Source organism: Homo sapiens, chromosome 17, assembly GCF_000001405.40.
Source record: "Homo sapiens chromosome 17, GRCh38.p14 Primary Assembly".
Classification (NCBI taxonomy): Eukaryota; Metazoa; Chordata; class Mammalia; order Primates; family Hominidae; genus Homo; species Homo sapiens.
In genome coordinates, this window is record NC_000017.11 from 16,392,640 (window position 1) to 16,415,546 (window position 22,907).

At 49.1% G+C, this 22,907-nt stretch overlaps 1 pseudogene, besides 9 other annotated features; it reads left to right on the forward strand.

Moving 5' to 3' along the window:
- Positions 5,509–6,572: a transcriptional cis regulatory region, noted in NCBI's record as "candidate enhancer chr17.878 targeted for multiplex CRISPR interference". NCBI's record gives its function as "positively regulates TRPV2 gene expression with high confidence in K562 cells {active_cell/tissue: K562}" and the evidence as "EXISTENCE:mutant phenotype evidence [ECO:0000015][PMID:30612741]".
- Positions 14,341–14,520: an enhancer, noted in NCBI's record as "active region_11756". NCBI's record gives its function as "activates an Ori minimal core promoter by ATAC-STARR-seq in GM12878 lymphoblastoid cells {active_cell/tissue: GM12878}" and the evidence as "EXISTENCE:reporter gene assay evidence [ECO:0000049][PMID:35858748]".
- Positions 14,751–14,830: a silencer, noted in NCBI's record as "silent region_8220". NCBI's record gives its function as "represses an Ori minimal core promoter by ATAC-STARR-seq in GM12878 lymphoblastoid cells {active_cell/tissue: GM12878}" and the evidence as "EXISTENCE:reporter gene assay evidence [ECO:0000049][PMID:35858748]".
- Positions 14,891–14,940: a silencer, noted in NCBI's record as "silent region_8221". NCBI's record gives its function as "represses an Ori minimal core promoter by ATAC-STARR-seq in GM12878 lymphoblastoid cells {active_cell/tissue: GM12878}" and the evidence as "EXISTENCE:reporter gene assay evidence [ECO:0000049][PMID:35858748]".
- Positions 15,041–15,090: a silencer, noted in NCBI's record as "silent region_8222". NCBI's record gives its function as "represses an Ori minimal core promoter by ATAC-STARR-seq in GM12878 lymphoblastoid cells {active_cell/tissue: GM12878}" and the evidence as "EXISTENCE:reporter gene assay evidence [ECO:0000049][PMID:35858748]".
- Positions 15,321–15,410: a silencer, noted in NCBI's record as "silent region_8223". NCBI's record gives its function as "represses an Ori minimal core promoter by ATAC-STARR-seq in GM12878 lymphoblastoid cells {active_cell/tissue: GM12878}" and the evidence as "EXISTENCE:reporter gene assay evidence [ECO:0000049][PMID:35858748]".
- Positions 15,611–15,980: an enhancer, noted in NCBI's record as "active region_11757". NCBI's record gives its function as "activates an Ori minimal core promoter by ATAC-STARR-seq in GM12878 lymphoblastoid cells {active_cell/tissue: GM12878}" and the evidence as "EXISTENCE:reporter gene assay evidence [ECO:0000049][PMID:35858748]".
- Positions 16,031–16,210: an enhancer, noted in NCBI's record as "active region_11758". NCBI's record gives its function as "activates an Ori minimal core promoter by ATAC-STARR-seq in GM12878 lymphoblastoid cells {active_cell/tissue: GM12878}" and the evidence as "EXISTENCE:reporter gene assay evidence [ECO:0000049][PMID:35858748]".
- On the forward strand, positions 18,172–18,311 carry LOC124904150 (uncharacterized; annotated as a pseudogene).
- Positions 22,763–22,882: an enhancer, noted in NCBI's record as "active region_11759". NCBI's record gives its function as "activates an Ori minimal core promoter by ATAC-STARR-seq in GM12878 lymphoblastoid cells {active_cell/tissue: GM12878}" and the evidence as "EXISTENCE:reporter gene assay evidence [ECO:0000049][PMID:35858748]".

Sequence of the window (22,907 nt, forward strand, 5' to 3'; positions counted from 1 at the left end):
GTGATACCCCCATGCTTCATACGTTTATAACACATTTAAAAATAGCATGACGCCAGGGGCGGTGGCTCACGCCTGTAATCCCAGCCCTTTGGGAGGCTGAGGCGGGCAGATCGCCTGAGGTCAGGAATTCAAGACCAGCCTGGCCAACATAGTGAAACCCTGTCTCTACTAAAAATGCAAAGAATTAGCTGGGCGTGGGCCGGGCGCGGTGGCTGACACCTGTAATTCCAGCACTTTGGGAGGCCTAGGCAGGCGGATCACCTGAGGTTGGGAGTTCGAGACCAGCCTGACCAACATGGAGAAACCCCGTCTCTACTGAAAATACAAAATTTGCCAGGCATGGTGGCCCATGCCTGTAATCCCAGCTAATTGGGAGGCTGAGGCAGGAGAATCGCTTGAACCCAGGAGGCAGAGGTTGCGGTGAACCGAGATCGCATCAAGGCACTCCAGCCTAGGTGACAAGAGCAAAACTCTGTCTCAAAAAAAAAAAAAAAAAAATTAGCTGGGCATGGTGGGCGGGAGCCTGTAATCCCAGTTACTAGGGAGGCTGAGGCAGGAGAATTGCTTGAACCCAGGAGGCGGAGGTTGTGGTGAGCCGAGATCACGCCATTGCACTCCAGCCTGGACAACAAGAGCAAATCTCTGTCTCAAAAAAAAAAAATTTTTTTTCAGATAATCTGGAACGGTAAAAAGAAGAGAGTAAAATTACCTAAATAAATTACCAAATTCCCATCATCTGGAGGTAACTATTGATAGCACAGATTTTTAAAAAATGGGTTATCATATAATGCTTTCTATTTTTTATCCTGCTTTTTTAAACTTAATTTTTCTACTTACATTGTTTTATGCTAATAAATATATATCTTCATTTAAATAGCTGCATAGCTTTCTGTTGTATATATCATAATTTATTTAACTCATACTAATGGGGCATTTGTAAACAACTCTATGGTGTAAATGCATCCCTTCATATATATTTATATGTGTATGTGTGTGTGTGTGTGTGTGTGTGTGTGTGTGTGTGTATTTAGAGATAGGCTCCCACTCTGCTGCCCAGGCTTGTGTGCAGTGGTGCAATCATAGCTAACTGTATCCTCAAATTCCAGTGTCAAGTGATCTTCCCACCTCAGCCTCCTGAGTAGCTGGGACCACAGGCACATGCCACCTTGCCTGGCTAATTTATTTTGATTTTTATTTTTTTGTAGAGGTGGGGTCTTACCATATGACCCAGGATGGTCTCAAACTCGTGGCCTCAAGTGGTCCTCCTACCTCAGCCTCCTAAAGCATTGGGATTTAGAGGCATAAGCCACTGTGCCCAGTCTCTTGACATATTTTGTAAATTAAAAACGAGGAAGAAATATTTACAACACAGGCGTGTGCCACCATACCCAGCTAATTTTTTGTATTTTTAGTAGAGACAGGGTTTCACCATGTTGGCCAGGCTGGTCTCAAACTCCTGACCTCAAGTGATCCGCCCACCTCAGCCTCCCAAAGTGCTGGGATTACAAGCATGAGACACTGTGCCTGACGTTAAAGGACTAATTTCTTTCTTTTTTTTCTTTTCTTTTGAGACAGGATCTTACTCTGTCACCCAGACTGGAGTGCTGTGATACGATCACAGCTCATTGCAGTCTCCATGTCCCAGGCACAAGTGATCCACCTCAGCTTCCCAAGTAGCTGGGACTACAGGGGCACATACTACACCTGGCTAATTTAAAAAACTCTTTGTAGAGACAGGTTCTTGCTATGTTTCTCAGACTGGTCTTGAACTGCTGACCTCAAATGATCCTTCTGCCTCAGCCTCTGAAAGTGCTGGGATTACAGGCATGGGCCACTGCACCCACCGAAAGGACTAATTTCTTCAATATATAAGTGGTTTCTATAAATATATGAGAAACAGATTAATAACACAATAGGAAAATGGACAAAGGACAGGAGCAGACAATTCACAGAAAAGAAAATTGTTGTTTTTTTTTTTTGAGACGGAGTCTCACTCTGTCGCCCAGGCTGGAGTGCAGCGGTGGCACTATCTCGGCTCACTGCAAGCTCTGCCTCCTGGGTTCACGCCACTCTCCTGCCTCAGCCTCCCGAGTAGCTGGGACTACAGGCACCCGCCACCACGCCAGGCTAATTTTGTTTTTTGTATTTTTAGTAGAGATGGGGTTTCACCATGTTAGCCAGGATGGTCGCGATCACCTGACCTCATGATCCGCCGACCTCGTGATCCGCCCGCCTCGGCATCCCAAAGTGCTGGGATTACAGGTGTGAGCCACCGCGCCTGGCCAAAAATTGTTCTTAAACACATGACAAGATGTGCAGCTTCACTTAGCATAAGAAAAATGACCATTCAATGTATGAAGTGGCATTTTTTAATATTTCAGATTGACAAAGATAAAACAAGACTGTTAATACTTTTGTTTACAAGAGTGCAGAGAAATGCATCCTCATGTATTGTTGGTCGGTGTAAACTGGTACAACCTCTTTGGAAGGCAGTTGGGTAAGTAGCTATGAAAATCTCAACTGCAGCTGGGCGAAGTGCCTGTCATCCCAGCACTTTGGGAGACCGAGGCGGGTGGATCACCTGAGGTCAGGAGTTCGAGACCAGCCTGACCAACATGTTGAAACCCCGTCTCTACTAAAAATACTCACACACAAAAAATTATCCAGGCGTGGTGGCGGGCACCTGTAGTCCAAGCTGCTTGGGAGGCTGAGGCAGGGATAATTGCTTAAACCCAGGAGGCAGAAGTTTCAGTGAGCCGAGGTGGCACCACTGCACTCCAGTCTGGGCAACAGAGCGAGACTCTGTCTCAAAAAACAAACAAAAGAAAATCTCGAGTTCACATACCCTTTGTGCCAGCAATTCCACATCTGGGAATTTTACAGATACTCTCACAGATGTGTAAAAAGAAGTATGAGCACAGATGTTCCCTGCAGTATCGTTAATAATAGAAATACACTCAAGGCCGGGCGCGGTGGCTCACGCCTGTAATTCCAGTACTTTGGGAGGCCGAGATGGGTGGATCACTTGAGGGCAGGAGTTGGAGAGCAGTCTGGCTAACATGGTGAAGCCCCGTCTCTACTAAGGATACAAAAATTACCCAGGCGTGGTGTCGCACCCCTGTAGTCCCAGCTACTTGGGAGGCTGAGGCAGGGAGAATTGCTTAAACCCAGGAGGCAGAGGTTTCAGTGAGCCGAGGTGGCACCACTGCACTCCAGCCTGGGCGACAGAGAGAGACTCCATCTCAAAATAAATAAAATAAAATAAAATAAGAAAGGTGAACCTTAGCAGCAGCAAGGCAGCCATCACCTTTGCTCTCTGAAGCCTGCGGTAGGGATGGATATGAATTAGCTGTGGCGGGAGGGGCTGAGTAAGCTCTGGGACCACGTGACTCTGCTGGACACAGCAGGGGAAGGCAGTGGTCCAGGCTTCCCAAAAACCAGCCTTGAGGAATAAAGATAACGCTCCCAATTTTCAGAACTGCTCTGCTCACTCTGAGTCAGAGTGGAAAATACTGACTGCTGCATCTAGCAAAGGAGATGTTTCAGCACTGTTTTGGGAAGAAGGGCCTGTAGGGCCTATCTGATGAGGGCCTTACTGTCATCTCCCCATCATGCCAAGCAGCCTTTCCTTTGACCCAGGGCTCCCACCCCCACTTTCAGATTAGCTGCCAGCCTCTAACACTCTGCTGTTTTCCCTTCCTGAGAAGCAGCCGCTGTGAAAGCTGTTTTTCTGAGCATCAGGCCTGAGCATAATCTGCTTTAGCAGCTGAAGTGGTCTGCTCTTCTTTTACTGACAACACTTTAATACAGAAATTCTGATGGCCTTTTAGATTTATATATGCTTCTCCCTCCCCTCTGGGCTTTTCCTGGAAGTAGGTTGGCAAGGAACAGTATGGCTCCTACCTCCACACCAGCCAGGACCTTGAGAAGGGAGAAGGTGCTGAGCCACTCAAGCACATGGCCAGGGGAGCTTAGAAAAACAGGGACTTCCAACCTGCCTGGGCAATATAGCGAGACCCCGTTCTCCAAAAACAAGGAAAAAAGAAAAAAGAAAAAGAGGGACCCTCCAAACACAAGCAGGGAGAAGCTGAAGAAGTGGGTGCTAGAAGAGCCTGGAGATGTGTAGATGGCAGCCTGTCTGCTGCTCTGGGCCTTGGCCATTGCCTGTGCTGCTGATGCTTCTGCTGTCTCTTCTCCTTTCACAAAACTACAAGAGCTCAGGTTGGGGCTGCTCAAAAGCTTCCCGCAATGTGCTGATTCACTCTAAGTGCCTGCTCCTCTGCAGACTGACTTCATGCACTTAAAATAATTCACTCGTTTCATTGTTAGCTCTGTCCTCTCCACTTGCATTTCAGGCCAGAGCACTACAGTGAGGTCCCAAGCTCTGTCCTGTAAACCACAGGTAAAATTCTAAGGCCCCTCCACAACCATCTGAATGGGCCCCTCTTCTTGGCTAAGGACATTCCCAAGTAAATCTGAAAATCTAGTTCAGGACATGACGGAAGAGCAGGTCACACAAGCATCATTATAACTTCCTCCCTTTTGGAATTCAGGAAAAGCCAACCAGCATTAACATCAACACAGATCTTAAGTCTGGTAAGAAACATTTACAATCTATTTTCTCTGAAGTTTGCTACCTGGAAGCTTCATCTGCCTGATAAAACCTTGGTCTCTACAACCCCTTATCAAAACCCAGGCATTTCTTTCTACTGATAATAAGTCTTTCTTCTTTTTTTTTTTTTTCCTAGATAGAGTCTCGCTCTGTCGCCCAGACTGGAGTGCAGCAGCACCATCTTGGCTCACTGCAACCTCTTCCTCCCGGGTTCAAGCGATTCTCCCGCCTCAGCCTCCTGAGTAACTGGGATTACAGGCATGTGCCACCACACCCGGCTAATTTTCTTTTTTGTGAGACAGAGTTTCACTCTTGTTGCCCAGGCTGGAGTGCAATGGTATGATCTCGGCTCACCACAACCTCTGCCTCCCAGGTTCAAGCGATTCTCCTGCCTCAGCCTCCTGAGTAGCTGGGATTACAGGCATGCGCCACCACACCCGGCTGATTTTGTATTTTTAGTAGAGACAGGGTTTCTCCATGTTGGCCAAGCTGGCCTCGAACTCCTGACCTCAGGTGATCCACCCGCCTCGGCCTCCCAAAGTGCTGGGATTATAAGCGTGAGCCATGGCACCTGGCCAACTCTTTCAACTAATTGCCAATCAGAAAAACTTTAAAATCTGCCTGTGACCTGGATACACTCCTCACACGCACTTCGAGTTGTCCTGCCCTTCCATATGGAACCAACGTAAGTCCTATATGTATTTGACTGATGTCTCATGTCTCCCTAAAATGTATAAAACTAGGCTGTGTCTGAGCACCTTGGGCACATGTTCTCAGGATCTCCTGAGGGCTGTGTCACAGGCCATTGATCACTCATATTTGGCTCAGAATAAATCTCCTCAAATACTTTTTTGTCAACAGTCCACTGGGCTCAGGTGAGCAGGGCCTGAAACAGATGACATGGAAATTTATAATAAAATAAGGGGCCCGTGCCTTAAGACATACCACAAAGTAAATATAACACTGTACAGGCTCTCTCGGGTGACCCTGGACTACAGAATGTGGGTTGTGGGGAGGGAGAGACGTGGACTTTTTCCTGCAGGTCATGGCTTGGGTGCACCTAGAAACAGGCCAATACCACCTCTTCTTTTCTGGAAAGGTGGGGCCTGACAGCTTTGTGTGGGGAACCAGTGTCCTGTTACAGTTCAGGTCTAAAATGCCTGCTGAGTAAATAAACATGTTGTTCTCAACCTAAACCGAAAAGCCTGATATTTGTAGGAATAAAATTGATCTTTCCTACCCTGAGCAAAGTGCTCCAAATATGCTCAGTCATGGAGTGGAGACAGATAAGTAAACAGACGCTGGGAATAGAGTGGAGACAGATAAATAAACAGATGCTGGGGATATGTCGTGATACAGAGCCAGGCCAGAGTCAAGCAAGGTGCTGCATTGGCATTCTGCCGGCCTTTCCTGCAGGAAAAGGTGTGAAAAAGCTCTTGGGGTGATGGGAAGGGGTGTGCTGTTTTGAAATCGGAAGATAAAAACAGAGCCATGGAGGTTCTGCGCCATCGCCTTGGAACAGATGGTATCTGCCTCCACATCTGCAATGACTCAGATCTCTGCTCTGGGCATACCTGCAGTCAAATCAGGGCTGCCCAGACATCCTGTGTTTGTGAAATGCTGAGAAAAACAGAAGGGGACTAACTGGCTTCTAGCAGTTGCCTACTCATCCACCCTCTTCCAAACACCCAGGCTGGGGAGTAACATTTTGGGGATGAGTCCTCGTAATGCTGCTTCTCTCTAGAGAGCAATGTGTGAAAATTGACCCAAGGAGTTGTCTCATGGGGTGAGGCATGATTGGCTGTCTTTTCTCAGAGCCTCCCTGAGGCTCATCTACCCCCATGCCCTGAGCTCACTGGGGCCTGCCTGGCCAAACAGAATATACCCATTAAGGGAAATAAATTTCCAGGCCACAATAACAAGCATCACCACTTTGAAAAGAAAGAACCATAAACTGAAATTCTTCAGAATAAGAATTTTTAATTAGCCTAATAAACACATTAAAAGATATAAAGGAAAATACTAGAACTATGAAACAAATGAATACAAAAACACCAAAAAGAACCAACAAGAAATACTAAGTTGAAAATATAAAAGTTGAGGCTGGGCACAGCGGCTCAAGCCTGTAATCCCAGCGCTTTGGGATGCCAAGGCGGGTGGATCACCTGAGGTCGGGAGTTCGAGACCAGCCTGACCAACATGGTGAAACCCCATCTCTACTAAAAATACAAAAATTAGCCGGGCGTGGTGGCACGTGCCTGTAATCCCAGCTACTCAGGAGGCTGAGGCAGGAGAATTGCTTGAGCCCGGGAGGCGGAGGTTGCAGTGAGCTGAGATCGCGCCACTGCACTCCAACCTGGGTAACAGAGCAAGACTCTGTTTCAAAAAAAAAAATTAGCCAGGGGTAGTGGTGAACGCCTGTAGTCCCAGCTACTCAGGAGGCAGAGGCAGGAGAATCACTTGAACCCAGGAGGCGGAGGTTGCGGTGAGCTGAGATCACACCATTGCACTCCAGCCTGGGCAACAAGAGCAAAACTCCCACTCAAAAAAAAAAGGGCCGAGCACAGTGGCTCACACCTGTAATCCCAGCACTTTGGTGTAGGGAAAAGAGAGATCAGACTGTTACTGCGTCTATGTAGAAAGGGAAGACATAAGAAGTTCCATTTTGACCTGTACATTTTTTTTTTTTGAGACGGAGTCTTGCTCTGTCGCCCAGGCTGGAGTGCAGAGGCGCGATCTCAGCTCACTGCAAGCTCTGCCTCCCGGGTTCACGCCATTCTCCTGCCTCAGCCTCCCCAGTAGCTGGGACTACAGGCGCCCACCACCACGCCCACCTAATTTTTTGTATTTTTCGTAGAGAAGGGGTTTCACCATTTTAACCAGGATGGTCTCGATCTCCTGACCTCGTGATCCGCCCACCTCAGCCTCCCAAAGCGTACCTTGAACAATTGCTTTGCTGAAATGTTGTTAATTTGTAACTTTGCCCCAGCCACTTTGCCCCAGCCACTTTGCCCCAACTTTGAGCTCACAAAAACATGTGTTGTATGGAATGAAGGTTTAAGGGATCTAGGGCTGTGCAGGAGGTGCCTTGTTAACAAAATATTTACAAGCAGTATGCTTGGTAAAAGTCATCACCATTCTCTAGTCTCAATAAACCAGGGGCACTATGCACTGCGAAAAGCCGCAGGGACCTCTGCCCTGGAAAGCTGGGTATTGTCCAAGATTTCTCCCCATGTGATAGTCTGAAATATGGCCTCATGGGATGAGAAAGACCTGACTGTCCCCCAGCCCGACACCCATAAAGGGTCTGTGCTGAGGTGGATCAGTAAAAGAGGAAAGCCTCTTGCAGTTGAGATAGAGGAAGGCCACTGTCTCCTGCCTGCCCCTGGGAACTGAATGTCTCGGTATAAAACCCCGATTGTACATTTGTTCAATTCTGAGATAGGAGAAAAACTGCCTTATGGCAGGAGGCGAGACATGTTGGCAGCAATGCTGCCTTGTTATTCTTTACTCCACTGAGATGTTTGGGCGGAGAGAAACATAAATCTGGCTTACGTGCACATCCAGGCATAGTACCTCCCTCTGAACTTAATTATGACATAGATTCTTTTGCTCACATGTTTTTTTGCTGACCTTCTCCTTATCACCCTGCTCTCCTACCGCATTCCTCTTGCTGAGATAATGAAAATAATAATCAATAAAAACTGAGGGAACTCAGAGACCGGTACCGATGCAGGTCCTTGGTATGCTGAGCGCCGGTCTCCTGGGCCCACTGTTGTTTCTCTATACTTTGTCTCTGTGTCTTATTTCTTTTCTCAGTCTCTCGTCCCACCTGACGCGATATCCCACAGGTGTGGAGGGGCAGGCCACCCCTTCACTTTGGGAGGCCGAGGCAGGTGGATCAGTAGGTCAGGAGACCGAGACCATCCTGGCTAACATGGTGAAACCCCGTCTCTACTAAAAATACAAAAAAAAAAAAAAATTAGCCAGGCGTGGTGGCGGGCGCCTGTAGTCCCAGCTACTCGAGAGGCTGAGGCAGGAGAATGGCATGAACCCAGGAGGCAGAGCTTGCAGTGAGCCAAGATTGTGCCACTGCACTCCAGCCTGGGCGACAGAGCGAGACTCCGTCTCAAAAAAAAAAAAAAGAAAAAAGAAAATATAACAGTTGTACTAAAGAACACAAATGATTGAATAAACAGCAGAATGGACAGAGCTGAGGAATAAATTAGTGGACTGGAATAACAGAAATTCCCCAAAAGGAAGAAGAAAAAATAAAAGAACAGGAAATATAAAAGAATAGCTAAGGGATATGGAGAATAAAAGTGAAATGGTAACATTCAGAAGATAGGATTCCTGGAAAGAGAAAGAGAAAAATGGAAAGGAGGAAATATTTGAAAAAATAATGAAGAAAAAATTCTCAGAATTAGGAAAAAAGATGAAGTGTGAACACAAGATCTGTATACGGATTATTCCTTATTAAAAATAATTTTGGCCAAGCGTGGCCGGGCGTGGTGGCTCACGCCTGTAATCCCAGCACTTTGGGAGGCCGAGGCAGGTGGATCACGCGGTCAGGAGATCGAGACCATCCTGGCTAACACGGTGAAACCCTGTCTCTACTAAAAATACAAAAAATTAGCTGGGCGTGGTGGCTGGCACCTGTAGTCCCAGCTACTCAGGAGGCTAAGGCAGGAGAATGGCATGAACCCGGGAGGCGAAGCTTGCAGTGAGCTGAAATCATGCCACTGCACTCTAGCCTGGGCAACAGAGCGAGACTCTGTTTCAAAAAAAAAAAATTTTTTTGGCCAAGCGTGGTAGCTCACGCCTGTAATCCCAGCACTTTGGGAGGACCAAGGCCAGAGGATCTCTTGAGCCTAGGAGTTAGACATCAGTCTGGGTGGGCAAAAACCTGTCTCTACAAAAAAAAAAAAAAGTAAAAAAAATTAGCCCAGTGTGGTGGCGCAAACCTATAGGTAGGAGGGTCGCTTGAGCCTGGGAGATGGAGGCTGCAGTGAGCCGTGATCACTCCACTGCACTTCAGCCTGGGCAACAGAGCAAGACCCTGTCTAAAAAAAAAAAATTGAGAGTTGGAATATGTCAATGAGGAGAGAGAAGGAAAAATTTACAGCGAGAAACATTTTGGGGAAATTTAAGAATATCAGAGACAAAAAGAACATTCTAAAAATTTCCAGAGAGTCAGAGATCACAGATAAAGGAACAAGAGGCCTATTTATTTATTTATATCTTTTTGAGACAGAGTCTCACTCTGTTGCCCAGGCTGGAGTGCCGTGGTGCCATCTGGGTTCACTGCAACCTCTGCCTCCTGAGCTCAAGTGATTCTCCTGCCTCAGCCTTCTGAGTAGCTGGGATTACAGGCGACCACCACCAGGCTCAGCTAATTTTTGTATTTTTAGTAGAGATGGGGTTTCACTATGTTGGCCAGGCTAGTCTCAAACTCCTGACCTCAGGTGATCTGCCCGCCTTGGCCCCGCAAAGTGCTGGGATTACAGGCGTGAGCCACTGTGCAGGCCGAAGAGGCCTATTTATTAACATTAGATTTTTCAACACCAATACCAGGTGCAAGAAGATAATGGAGTAGAATTTTCAAAGTAATGAAGGGAAAGATCTTAGAACCTAGAATCTCTTTTTGAGACAGGGTCTTGCTTTGTTGCCCAGGCTGGAGTACAGTGGTGTGATTATAGCTTACTGCAGCGGCAATGTCCCACACTCAGGTGATCCTCCCATCTCAGTCTCCTGAGTAGCTGGGACTATGGGCACACACCACCATGCCCAGCTAAGTTTTTTGATTTTTAGTAGAGACCAGGTCTCGCTATATTGCCCAGGCAGGTCTTGAAGTCCTGAGCTCAAGCAGTCATCCTGCCATGACCTCCCAATGTGCTGGGATTATGAGCGTAAGCCAATGCACCTGGCTTTGACCTTTAAAACAAGAAACCTCCCCACTGCCCGTGGACCCCATATCTCCTTCCAGTTAGTTGCCACCTCTCTGCTTCCCTCTATAATGAAGCATCTCCAAAGGGTGGTCTGCAGACATTGTCTCCACCCCCTCCCCCTTTTTTTGTTTTAGATTGCCTTTTTTTTTTTTTTCTGCAGTCCTGAAAATCATCACGTACAGATTGTCTTTTAAAAAGAAATAAAATAGGCTGGGCGTGGGGACTCACGCCTGTAATCCCAGCACTTTGGGAGGCCAAGGCAGGTGGATCACCTGAGGTCAGGAGTTCAAGTCCAGGCTGGCTAACATGGTGAAACCCCGTCTCTACTAAAAACACAAAAATTAGCCGGGCGTGGTGGCGGGCGCCTGTAATCCCAGCTACTCAGGAGGCTGAGGCAGGAGAATTACTTGAACCTGAGAGGCAGAGGTTGCAGTGAGCCAAGATTGCACCACTGCACTCCAGCCTCGGTGACAGAGTGAGACTCCGTCTCAAAAAAAAAAAAAAGAAAAGAAATGAAATGAAATATGACAGTTATGTTTGGCTTCCAGTTTAAAAATGGCTTCCTGCCCAAATCCCTCTAGAATGATCATTAAAAAATTTAAAAGTGGCCAGGCGCAGTGGCTCATGCCTGTAATCCCAGCACTTTGGGAGGCCAAGGCGGGTGGATCACCTGAGGTCAGGAGTTCAAGACCAACCTGACCAAAAATGGTGAAACCCCATCTCTACTAAAAATACAAAAAATTAGCGGGGCGTGGTTGGGGCGGGCGCCTGTCATTCTAGCTACTCGGGAGGCTGAGGCAGGAGAATAGCTTGAACCCAGGAGGCGGAGGTTGCAGTGAGCCCAGATGGCGCCACTGCACTCCAGCCTGGGCAACAGAGCAAGACCCCGTCTCAAAAAGATCCTATTTTCTTTGTGTGTTTTGTTGTTGTTGTTGTTTTGTTTGCTTGTTTGTTTTTTTCAGAGACTGTCTCACCTTGTTACCCAGGCTGGAGTGCAGTGGAACAATCATAGTTTACTACAGCCTCAACTCCCAAACTCAAGTGATTCTCCTGCCTCAGCCTCCTGAGTAGCTGAGATTACAGGCATGCACTCCCATGCCTAGCTAACAAGGAGTTCTAGCTTATAGGAACTGGTTTAACATTGTTTAATGCAGTGTTTTCCAATTTTCAATTTCAGTTTTTATTTCAGTTTTTGTGTGTGTGTTTGCAGTGGTGGGTGGTGGGGGGTGGGGGACAGAGTCTCGCTGTGTTGCCCAGGCTGGAGTATAGTGGTGCAATCTTGGCTAATTGCAGCCTTCGGCTCCCTGGTTCAAGCGATTCTCAGCCTCAGCCAGTAGCTGGGACCAAAGGCCCACTCCAGGATGCCCGGCTAATTTTTGTATTTTTAGTAGAGACAGGGTTTCACTATGTTGGCCAGGCTTGTTTTGAATTCCTGACCTCAACTGATCCACCGGCCTCGGCCTCCTAAAGCGCTGGGATTACAGGCGTGAACCACTGCGCCTGGCTTTGTCCCTGGTTCTTTAGCCAATGTGTCATCTCCGCAAAACATTCTTGCCCACTCTCCTTTTCCCCCAAGCAGCAGCAATAAACTTTCCTTAAAGTCTGTGAGTCTGGCAGAAGGCGGAGGCTGCAGTGAGAGGTGATTGCGCCACTGCACTACAGCCTGGATGACAGAGAGAGACTCCGTCTAAAATTTTGAAGTGTAGCAGGACGAGCCACAGACAAAACTCCTCAGACGCCAGATTAAAGAAGGAAGAGGTTTTTATTCGGCCAGGAGCGTCAGCAGACTCGCGTCTTAAGAGCCAAGCTCCCCAAAAAAGAAATTCTAGCCCTTTTAAGGGCTTACAACTCTAGGGGGTCCACATGAAAGGGTCATGATAGATCAAGTAAGCGTGAGGAACGTAACTGGGGGCTACATACATCAGCTAACAGAACAAAAAGTTTTACAGTGCTTTCTCATATAATGTCTGGAATTTACAGATAACACCAGTAGTTTTGGTCAGGGTTTAATATTATTATTATTATTTTAACCACCAGGGCCAGGTGGTGGCGCCAAGGTCGTCTAGCTATTTATCTTACTTCTGTTTCTTTCCAACTTTTTGCTTTCTCCCTTTTCTCCTGTCTTATAAACTAGGGAAAAGGGGAGGTGGGGGAGAAGCTGGGAAGGACAACAGGAGAAGTGGTGGTCTCATTCCATAAAAGAAAAGGCTACAGGTCTGGGAGGCAGGTCAGACACTGCCAACGGCAACTGCAGCAAGAATAAGAAACAGTCCCTTCAAAGGAGCCAGGGGTACAGGTGCGCATCACGGAACTCCACTCCCGTGGAGACACAGCCAGGGGTGCAAGGATCGAAATCAGATTAGTGATTATCAGAGACTGGCGGCAGGTGAGGAGGGTGCAAAGGGGCACCAGGGCACTTTTTTATTTTTTTGAGACGTTGTCTCACTCTTGTCACCGAGACTGGAGTGCAGTGGCCTGATCTCGGCTCACTGTAACCTCCGCCTCACGGGTTCTAGCGATTCTCCTGCCTCAGCCTTCCAAGTAGCTGGGATTACAGGTGTGTGCCACCACTCCCGGCTAATTTTTTCTATTTAGTGGAGATGGGGTTTCACCATGTAGGTCAGGCTGGTTTCGAACTCCTGACCTTAGATGATCCACCGGCCTCGGCCTCCCAAAGTACTGGGATTACAGGTGTGAGCCACCGCGCACCAGAACACATTTTGGGGTGATGGAAATTCACTATATGTTAATTATGGTGCTGCCGGGCGCGGTGGCTCACGCCTGTAATCCCAGCACTTTGAGAGGCCGAGGTGGGCGGATCACGAGGTCAGAAGAGCGAGACCATCCTGGCTAACACGGTGAAACCCCGTCTCTACTAAAAATACGAAAAATTAGCCAGGCGTGGTGGCGGGCACCTATAGTCCCAGCTACTCGGGAGGCCGAGGCAGGAGAATGGCGCGAACCCCGGAGGCGGAGCTTGCAGTGAGCCGAGATTGCACCACTGCACTCCAGCCTGGGCAACAGAGCAAGACTCCGTCTCCAAAAAAATTAATAAAAAGAAAGAAAGAGAGAGAGAAAGAAAGAAAGAAAAGAAGGGAAGGAAGGAAGGGAGGGAGGGAGGGAGGGAAGGGAAGGAAGGAAGGAAGAAAGAAGAAAGAAAGAAAGAAAAAGAAAGAAAGAAAGGAAAGAGAAAGGAAGGAAGAAAGAAAGGAAGGAAGGAAAGAGTTGGCCGCCATGGCTCACGAAAAAAAGAAAGAAGGAAAGAAAGAAAGAAAGAAAGAAAGAAAGAAAGAAAGAAAGAAAGAAAGAGTGTTGGCCTGCAGAGGTGGCTCACGCCTGTAATCTCAACATTTTGAGAGGCCAAGGCCGGCAGATCACTGAGGTCAGGAGTTCGAGATTAGCCTGGCCAACATGGTGGAATCTGGTCTCTACTAAAAATTCAAAAACTAGCCAGGTGTGGTGGTGGGCACCTGTAATCCCAGCTACTCGGGAGGCTGAGGCAGGAGAATTTCTTGAACCCGGGAGGTGGAGGCTGCAGTGAGCCGAGATCATGCCACTGCACTCCAGCCTGGGCAGAGCGAGACTCCGTCTCAAAATAAATAAATAAATAAATAAATAAATAAATAAATAAATAAATAAGCCAGACATAGTGGCGCGCGCCTGTTGTCCCAGCTAACTGGAGGCTGAGGCAGGAGGATCGCTTGAGCCCGGGAGATGGAGGCTGCAGTGAGCCGTGATGGGGCCGCTGCACTCCAGCCTGGGCAACGGAGCAAGACCCTGCCTCGAAAGAAAGCGTCCCAAGGCGCCTGGCTCACCGCTCCAGAGCGCGCTCCCGGGTCGGCCTCCGCCCTCCAAGCCGGAGGGAAATGCTGTGGTCCCGCCGTCCGCCTGCATCCTCCAGTTCCTTTGGAGGGCAGGGGAGTGGAGCCCACAGGCTCTGACACCCTTACAGTCCAGCTCTGTGACTTGGGGAAGGGAGTGGCGCATGAGGAGGGCGAAGCTGGAGTCCAAAGGAAGGTCCTTCCGTTCCCGCCCCCGACCCGGGATCCGCCGAAGCGACTGCGGAGGCGGGTCCCAGGCCTGTCCCAGGAGGGGGTGTCCGGGAGGGGGACCGATGCCTACGTCAGACAGGAGGGCAGGGGACTCGCGGGATTCGTGGGGAAGCGAGAGGGGAAAGAGCAGGGAACGTGCGCTGGGGACGCGGCCGAGGCGCAGTGGGAGGGGGCCCAGGATTCTGGGTAGTTAGTTGGGCGGGGGGCGGGGATGCGCCTGAAGCTCGGTAGCGAGAGGTACTGGGGTCGCGGTGGGAGTCTTAGCAGAACCGCGGTGGAGCCTACTACCCGAGGGACGGGGTAGGGGGCGCGGCTGAGGCAGGTCGGGGTGTGAGGGGTGGGAGGCGCGGCTGAAGTGGGATGGAAGGGCGTGGAGAGGCGAGGGTGGGAGGCGTGGCTGAGGTGGGATGAGAAGAAAGTAGCGAAGTGAGGGGTAGGGGAGGCAGAGGCAAGGGTGGGAGGGAGATGGGGGTGAGGGGTGGGGGGGTGAGGGGTGGAGGAGCCGGAGGAGGGGTGAGGCAGATGAGGGTGAGGGGTCGGGGGATGAGGGGTGGAGGAGGCAGAGGTGAGGGTGGGAGGGAGGTGGGGGTGAGGGGTAGTGGGGTGAGGGGTGGAGGAGGCAGAGGTGGGGTGGGAGGCAGGTGGGGGTGAGGGGTAGGGGAGGCGGATATGGGGTGGGAGGCAGGTTGGGGGGTAAGGGGTGGAGGAGTTGAAGGCTGGAGGGGTCAGTGGTGGGGGAGGAGGAGGTGCGGTGGGAGGCAGGTGGAAGCGTGAGGGGTGGGGAGGCAGAGGCGGTTGGGAATGCATCCTGTGCCTGCGGAAATTGGGGAAATTCCCCAGAGGGGTAGGGGCTTGGGGCTGGGCTCCCAGATTTGGCCAAGACCTGGCTGTAGCTATTCTGGGTCCTGGGAGAGACGGAACGTCCGGGCCTGGCTGAGCTGTGGCCTCTGGGGCTCCCTGGGGCGGTATGGGAAGGGGCCATGCTTTGCGTGAGAAATTATCTCAGGCTGGGCAGGCTGTGCCCAGCCAGCTGGTCCCCTTGCCCTCCAGGAGGTGTCTGGTCCCCTTTGGTCCTCTCTGGCCCTGTTTGAGGACCAGCTAGCATTTTTTTTTTTCTCCGCTGCCTCAGTCTTCCTTGCTCCAGGAAGCCTGTGCTGCCTGCTAAACTGCCTTATTCGTATTTCTTTTCTGTGAGATTCAGACACAATCTTCTCAGGGAAGCTTCATCTGGCCAGTTAGACATAGCCCCAGCCCTGGCTTGGGGCCAAGTTTCGGAATTAGTACAAAGAGAAGCAAAGGCTGCAGGTCCAGGCCCTGGCTTGTCTACACCGCTCCAGCCCCTACCCCCAGCACCCTCAAGTGTCCCATCTTTTTTTACTTTTAAGGCCAGGGCAGTTTCCACCTTCCAGACCCTGAAATGCTCTCTCCCAACTCTTTTTTTAATTTATATTATGCACAGGCTTTAGACATGTCTTGCACATGTGAGTTGGATATTTTTCTACATCTAAAAGAGATGCCAATTTTATTTTTTAAAGCCAGTGGCAAAAATTTCAAACAGGCAGGGCGCGGTGGCTCATGCCAGTAATCCCAGCACTTTGGGAGGCCCAGGCGGGCGGATCACCTGAGGTCGGGAGGTCGAGACCAGCCTGACCAATATGGGGAAACCCCATCTCTACTAAAAATACAAAATTAGCCGGGCATGGTGGCACATGCTTGTAATCTCAGCTACTCGGGAGGCTGAGGCAGGAGAATCACTTGAACCCAGGAGGCGGAGATTGCGGTGAACTGAGATCCTGCTATTGCACTCCAGCCTGAGCAACAAGAGTGAAACTCCGTCTCAAAAAAAAAAAAAAAGACCGGGCGCGATGGCTCACACCTGTAATCTCAGCACTTTGGGAGGTCGAGGTGGGTGGATCACCTGAGCTCAGGAGTTCGAGACCAGCCTGCCCAACATGGCGAAACGCTGTCTCTACTAAAAATACAAAAAATCAGCCAAGCGTGGTGGCGGGCGCCTGTAATCCCAGCTACTCGGGAGGCTGAGGCAGGAGAATCGCTTGAACCTGGGAGGCAGAGGTTGCAGTGAGCCGAGATCGCACCACTGCACTCCAGCTGGGCGATGAGCAAAAACTCCGTCTCAAAAAATAATAATAAAAATAAAAAATAAAAAAATAAAAAAATTTCAAATAGTACAAAGGATGCACCTTATGTGCCTTCCCATCCCTGACCTCTAGTTCCCTGCTCCGGAGGACACATCTGCTACATATTTTGGTGACCTCTCTTTGCTCTTATTAAAAATCTATCTGAAAATAAATTCAAATAAAAGAAACATTTATAAAAAGTTACAAAGTGAAATGAAGCACAATAGGAAAGATAGGGTATAAAGCCTGCTTGGGGTAGATTTTCGTTAGGCGGACACTGGACTGAGTGAGGCTTCTTTTTTTTTTTGGTTTCTTTTTTTTTTTGAGACGGAGTCTGGCCCTGTTGCCCAGGCCGGAGTGCAGTGGCATGATCTCGGCTCACTGCAAGCTCCGCCTCCTGGGTTCACGCCATTCTCCTGCCTCAGCCTCCCCAGTAGCTGGGACTACAGGCGCCCGCTGATTTTTTGTATTTTTAGTAGAGACGGTGTTTCACCGTGTTAGCCAGGATGGTCTCGATCTCCTGACCTCGTGATCCGCCCACCTCGGCCTCCCAAAGTTTTTTTCGTTTCTTTTAATGGAGTCGGAGTCTGGCACTATCTCCCAGGCTGGACTGCAGTGGCGCAATCTCGGCTCACTGCAACCTCTGCCTCCCAGGTTCAAGCAATTCTCTTACCTCAGCCTCCAGAGTAGCTGGGACTACAGGTGCACGCCGCCATGCCTGGCTAATTTGTGAAGCTTCTTGAAATATGAATCCAGTGGTATTCAGATTGAGGAAGTCTTGCTTCCCTGCTTGATTCACTTCCCACTAAAAACACAGGCATTCTTCCCTACACAGGGGACTTTTTAAAACAAAGATATAATTCACATACAATTCACAAATATAAAGTGTACATTTCATTGGTCTTTTAGTGTAATTCACAGAGTTGCACAGCTGTCATCACAATCAACTTTAGAACATTTTATCTCCCGCAAAAGAAGCATCATACCTGAGCTGGGTGCATTGGCTCACGCCTGTAATCCCAGCACTTTGGGAGGCTAAGGTAGATGGCTTGAGTCTAGAAGTCTGAGACCAGCCTAGGCAATATAGTGAAAACCTGCCTTTAGAAAAAATACAAAAAAAAAAAAAAGAAAAAAAAAAAGACCCAGGTGTAGTGGCATGTGCCTGTAGCTACTTGGGAGGTCAAGGCAGGAGGATTCCCCGAGCCTGGGGAAGTCGAGGCTGCAGTGAGCCGCAGTCACGTGCCACGGCACTCCAGCCTGGGCGATGGAATGAGACACTGTCTCAAAAAAATAAAAAAAGAAGTCTCATACCTTTTAGCAGTCAGTCCTCCTTTCTACACTCGCCCCCAACATCCCCTTGCCCTAGACAACCACTTTACAGTTCCCTGTTTTGGATATTTCATATAAATGGAATCACGCAGATTACTTCTTGACCTTTCAGCTAAAATCAAGTGTAGTATCTGTTCTTATCAGTTTGACGTGTCCCTTATCTGAGGATGTAATAAAAATAAAAATAAATAAATGGAATCATGCAGTGTGTGATTTTTGTGACTGACTTCTTTCATTTAACCTAATTTTTCAAGTTTCTTCCATGCTATAGTGTACATCAGTACTTAATTTCTCTTTTTGTGGCCAAATAATATTCCATTAAATGGATATGCCACATTTTATGTATCCATTCGTCATCAGTTAATCATCATTTGGGGTGTTTCTATTTGGTTATTATGAATAATGCTGCTGTAAACATTCATGTACAAGTGTGTATGGACATATGTTTCCATTTCTTTGAGTACATACCTAGGAGTGGAATTGCTGGGTCGTATGGTAACTATGTTTATTTTATTTTTTTTTTTTTGAGACAGAGTCTCACTCTGTTGCCCAGGCTGGAGTGCAGCGGTGGCACTATCTCGGCTCACTGCAAGCTCCGCCTCCCAGGTTTATGCTATTCTCCCGCCTCAGCCTCCCAAGTAGCTGGGACTACAGGCGCCCGCCACCACGCCCGGCTAATTTTTTTTTGTATTTTTAGTAGAAACAGGGTTTCACCATGTTAGCCAGGATGGTCTCGATCTCCTGACCTCGTGATCCACCCGCCTTGGCCTCCCAAAATGTTGGGATTACAGGTGTGAGCCACCGCGCCTGGCCCTTTTTTTTTTTTTTTTTTTTGAGACAGCCTTGCTCTGTTGTCCAGGCTGCAGTGCAATGGCAGGATCTCAGCTCACTGCAACCTCCACCATCCAGGTTCAAGCAATTCTCCTGCCTCAGCCTCCCCAGTAGCTGGGATTATAGGCATGTGCCACCATGCCCTGCTAATTTTTTTTTTTTTTTTTTTTTTTGAGACAGACTCTTGCTCTGTCGCCCAGGCTGGAGTGCAATGGGGCGATCTCAGCTCACTGCAACCTCTGCCTCCCGGGTTCAAGTGATTCTCCTTCCTCAGCCTCTGGAGTAACTGGGATTACAGGCGTCCACCACCATGCCTGGCTAATTTTTGCATTTTTAGTAGAAACAAGGTTTTGCCATGTTGGCCAGGCTGCTCTCGAACTCCTGACCTCAGGTGATGCGCCTGCCTCGGCTGCCCAAAGTGCTGGGATTACAGGCCTGAGCCACCGCACCCGGCCTAATTTTTTCATTTTTGATAGAGGAGGGTTTTCGCCATGTTGGCCAGGCTGGTCTCAAATGCCTGACCTCAGATGATCCACTCACCTCGGCCTCCCAACATGCTGGGATTACAGGAGTGAACCACCGCGCCCAGCTCTCTATGTTTAATCTTTTGAGGAGCAGCCGGACTGTTTTCCAAAGTAGTTGCACCATTTTACAATCTCCCAGGAGTGTAGGACAGGTCCAATTTCTCCACACCCTTGCCAACACTTTGTTGTTACATGTCTTTTTATAATAGCTATGTTAGTAGTGTGAAGTGGGACCACATTGTGCTTTTGATTTGCCTTTCCCTGATGGCTACAATCCAAGGCCTTTTTGTAACCAGAATTTGCAATTAAGGTTATCTGTCTACCCAATTGTCATTTTCACCGGATGTGGTGATGGCTCTGGAGGACTTCAGGTTGTCCACTTTTCACTTTTTTCTCAACAGCACAGCAGTGCCCTCTGCACTATGATTATAAGCCATCCTGTCATTCAAAGCCTTCTTGAGCACCACTTGGATGCCAGGCACTGTGCTGGTTGCTGGGGATACAGCAACAAAGCAAGATCTCACCCCTTGGAAAGTATGGTGGTAAGCCTGTGGCCCTGGACTTGAATCCTTGCTTTCTCACCTCCCAGCCTTGTGGCCTTGGCCTTACCCATGCTCAGTTTTCTTGTCTGTGAAATAAGGTTGCTCTGGGAGTTACATGTTGAGCGCTTAGCACAGTGTCTGGTGCATAGTGAGTGCTCCGTAAGTATTTTTTATTGTTAAAGGTGAAGGCGGGGACAGTGGCTCATGCCTGTAATCTCAGCACTTTGGGAGGCGGAGGTGGCCGGATCACTTGAGGTCAGGAGTTCGAGACCAGCCTGGCCAACATGGTGAAACCCTGTCTCTACTAAAAATACAAAAGTTAGCCGGGTGTCGTGGCGCGTGCCTGTAATCCTAGCTACTGGGGAGGCTGAGGCAGGAGAATCACTTGAATCTGGGAGGTGGAGGTTGCAGTGAGCCAAGATCATGCCACTGCGCTCCAGCCTGGGCAACAGAATGAGACTCCGTCTCAAAAAAAAAAAAAAAGTGAAGCCAGACAATATAATAAATATTACAGTAACGGATAATGAGATGTGGGGGAAGTACAGAGTGTCATGGGAGCACATAGTGGCGATCCCCAGCCCAGTCCAGGGTCTAGGAAAGGCTATCTAAAGGAAGTGATGCTTAAATTGAGAGATGATGGATGAGCAGGAGTTGGCTAGATCAGATCAAGAGCAGTGTGTGTGTGTGTGTGTGTGTGTGTGTGTGTTCCTGGCAGGTGGAACAGAAGAGGCATGGCATACTGGGGAGACTGAAATGTGTTCAGAATGTCTAGAGCAGTGCTGTCTAATAGAACTCTATGTTTATGAAAAATGTCTCAGGCTGGCACGGTGGCTCACGCCTGTAATCCCAGCACTTTGGGAGGCTGAGGTGGGCGGAGCTCCTGAGGTCGGGAGTTTGAGACCAGCCTGACCAACATAGAGAAACCCCGTCTCTACTAAAAATACAAAATTAGCCAGACATGGTGGTGCATGCCTGTAATCACAGCTACTCAGGAGGCTGAGGCAGGAGAATCACTTGAACCTAGGAGGCGGAGGTTGCGGCGAGCTGAGATCGTGCCATTACACTCCAGCCTGGGCAACAAGAATGAAACTCCGTCTCAGAAAAAAAAAAAAAAAAGAAAGAAAAAAAGAAAAATTTGTCATCTGTGTGCTATCCGATATGGTAGCCACTAGCCACATGTGCCAACTGAGCATTTAAAATGTGGCTAATGGGACAGCAGAACTGAATGTTTACTGTTATTTTATTATGTATTTATTTTTGAGACAGAGTTTCCCTCTTGTTGTCCAGGCTGGAGTGCAATGGCACAATCTTGGCTCACTGCAAGCTCTGCCTCCCAGGTTTAAGCGATTCTCCTGCCTCAGCCTCCCAAGTAGCTGGGATTACAGGCACGTGCCACTACGCCTGGCTATTTTTTTTTATTTTTAGGAGAAATGGGGTTTTGCCATATTGGCCAGGCTGGTCTCGAATTCCTCACCTCAAGTGATCCACCTACCTTGGCTTCCCAAAGTGCTGGGATTACAGGTATGAGCCACCGCGCCTGGACTAATTTTGTATTTTTAGTAGAGATGGGGTTTCACTATGTTGGTCAGGCAGGTCTGGAACTCCTGACCTCAGGTGATCCACCCACCTCAGCTTCCCAAAGTGCTGGGATTACAAGCGTGAGGCCTATTATAATTGATTTAAATCTAAACAGTCATTGTGGCTAGTGACTATCTTATTGGATGGCGCAGGCCTAGAGTGTAATGTGCATGACAGGGTTGCCATGAGTGACGGATAGCGATGGAGAAGGGCATCTGGACTTTGAGGGCTCATGGTATGGAGTTTGCATTTTATTCCAAGCACCATGGGTGAGGTTTTGTGATTAAGTCAAGGCGTTAGGTGACCTGGTTTTCTTTTTTTTTCTTTTTTGACACAGAGTCTCGCTCTGTTGTCCAGGCTGGTGTGCAGTGGCACAATCTCAGCTCACTGCAACTTCCGCCTCCCAGGTTCAAGCGATTCTCCTGCGTCAGCCTCCCAAGTAGCTGAGATTACAGGTGCCCACCACCATATCCAGCTAATATTTGTATTTTTAGTAGAGATGGGGTTTTGCCATGTTAGCCAGGCTGGTCTTGAACTCCTGACCTCAAGTGATCCATGCACCTCGGCCTCCCAAAGTGCTGGGATTACAGGTGTGAGCCACTGCGCCCGGCCCTGGTTCCCATTTTTAAAAGGTCACTTCAGTTGCTATAAGGAGAAATGGATTATGAGTGTGGGGCAAGAATGAAGCAGGGAGACCAGTTTGGAGGTGGCTGCAGTTGCCCAGGGGAGCAGTGATAGTGGCTTGGACCACTCAGAAAGACAAATTTTGGAGGAAGAGCTGATGCCAGGTTTTGGGAGTGAGGGAGAGAGATTCCTAGGGCTACTTCGGTGGTGGTTGGGTCCCCAAGCTCCAAGACTGAGTCCAGACCAGGGCCCCGTTGGTGGTGAGGTCTGATTTTAGCAGTGCGTGCCCACCTCCTTGTCTCCACCTGCTGGCTGGTGCTTGGAGCACCTTTAGGGGAACTTTAGCCATCAGAGTCCTGGGGTCAGGAGGCTGGGAGAAGGTCCTGGGAGGTGGGAAAGTCCCCCAACTGCTGGGTGGATGGGTGGGTGGGACTGTGTTCCCAGGGGCATCTGCTGGGCTGAGCCTCTCCCTGGGGGCTGTCCACATCAGCTTTCTCCCCTGCCATGGGTCAACTCAGGCCCATTTATGGGCCACACGGCTGCTTGGAAGGCATGTGGTGGAGAAGGGGAGGAGATAGCTGTCAGTGGACTTGGGGAAGAATCCCCCATCCATGGCAGCTTCCATGGGTGGCAAGTCCCCAGCATCCAAGGGCTGCCTCTGAGTGTCACCCACCCCCACCTGAGACCTTAGTGGCTAGAAGGGGGAGGGGTGGGGGTGGAGCCTGATTC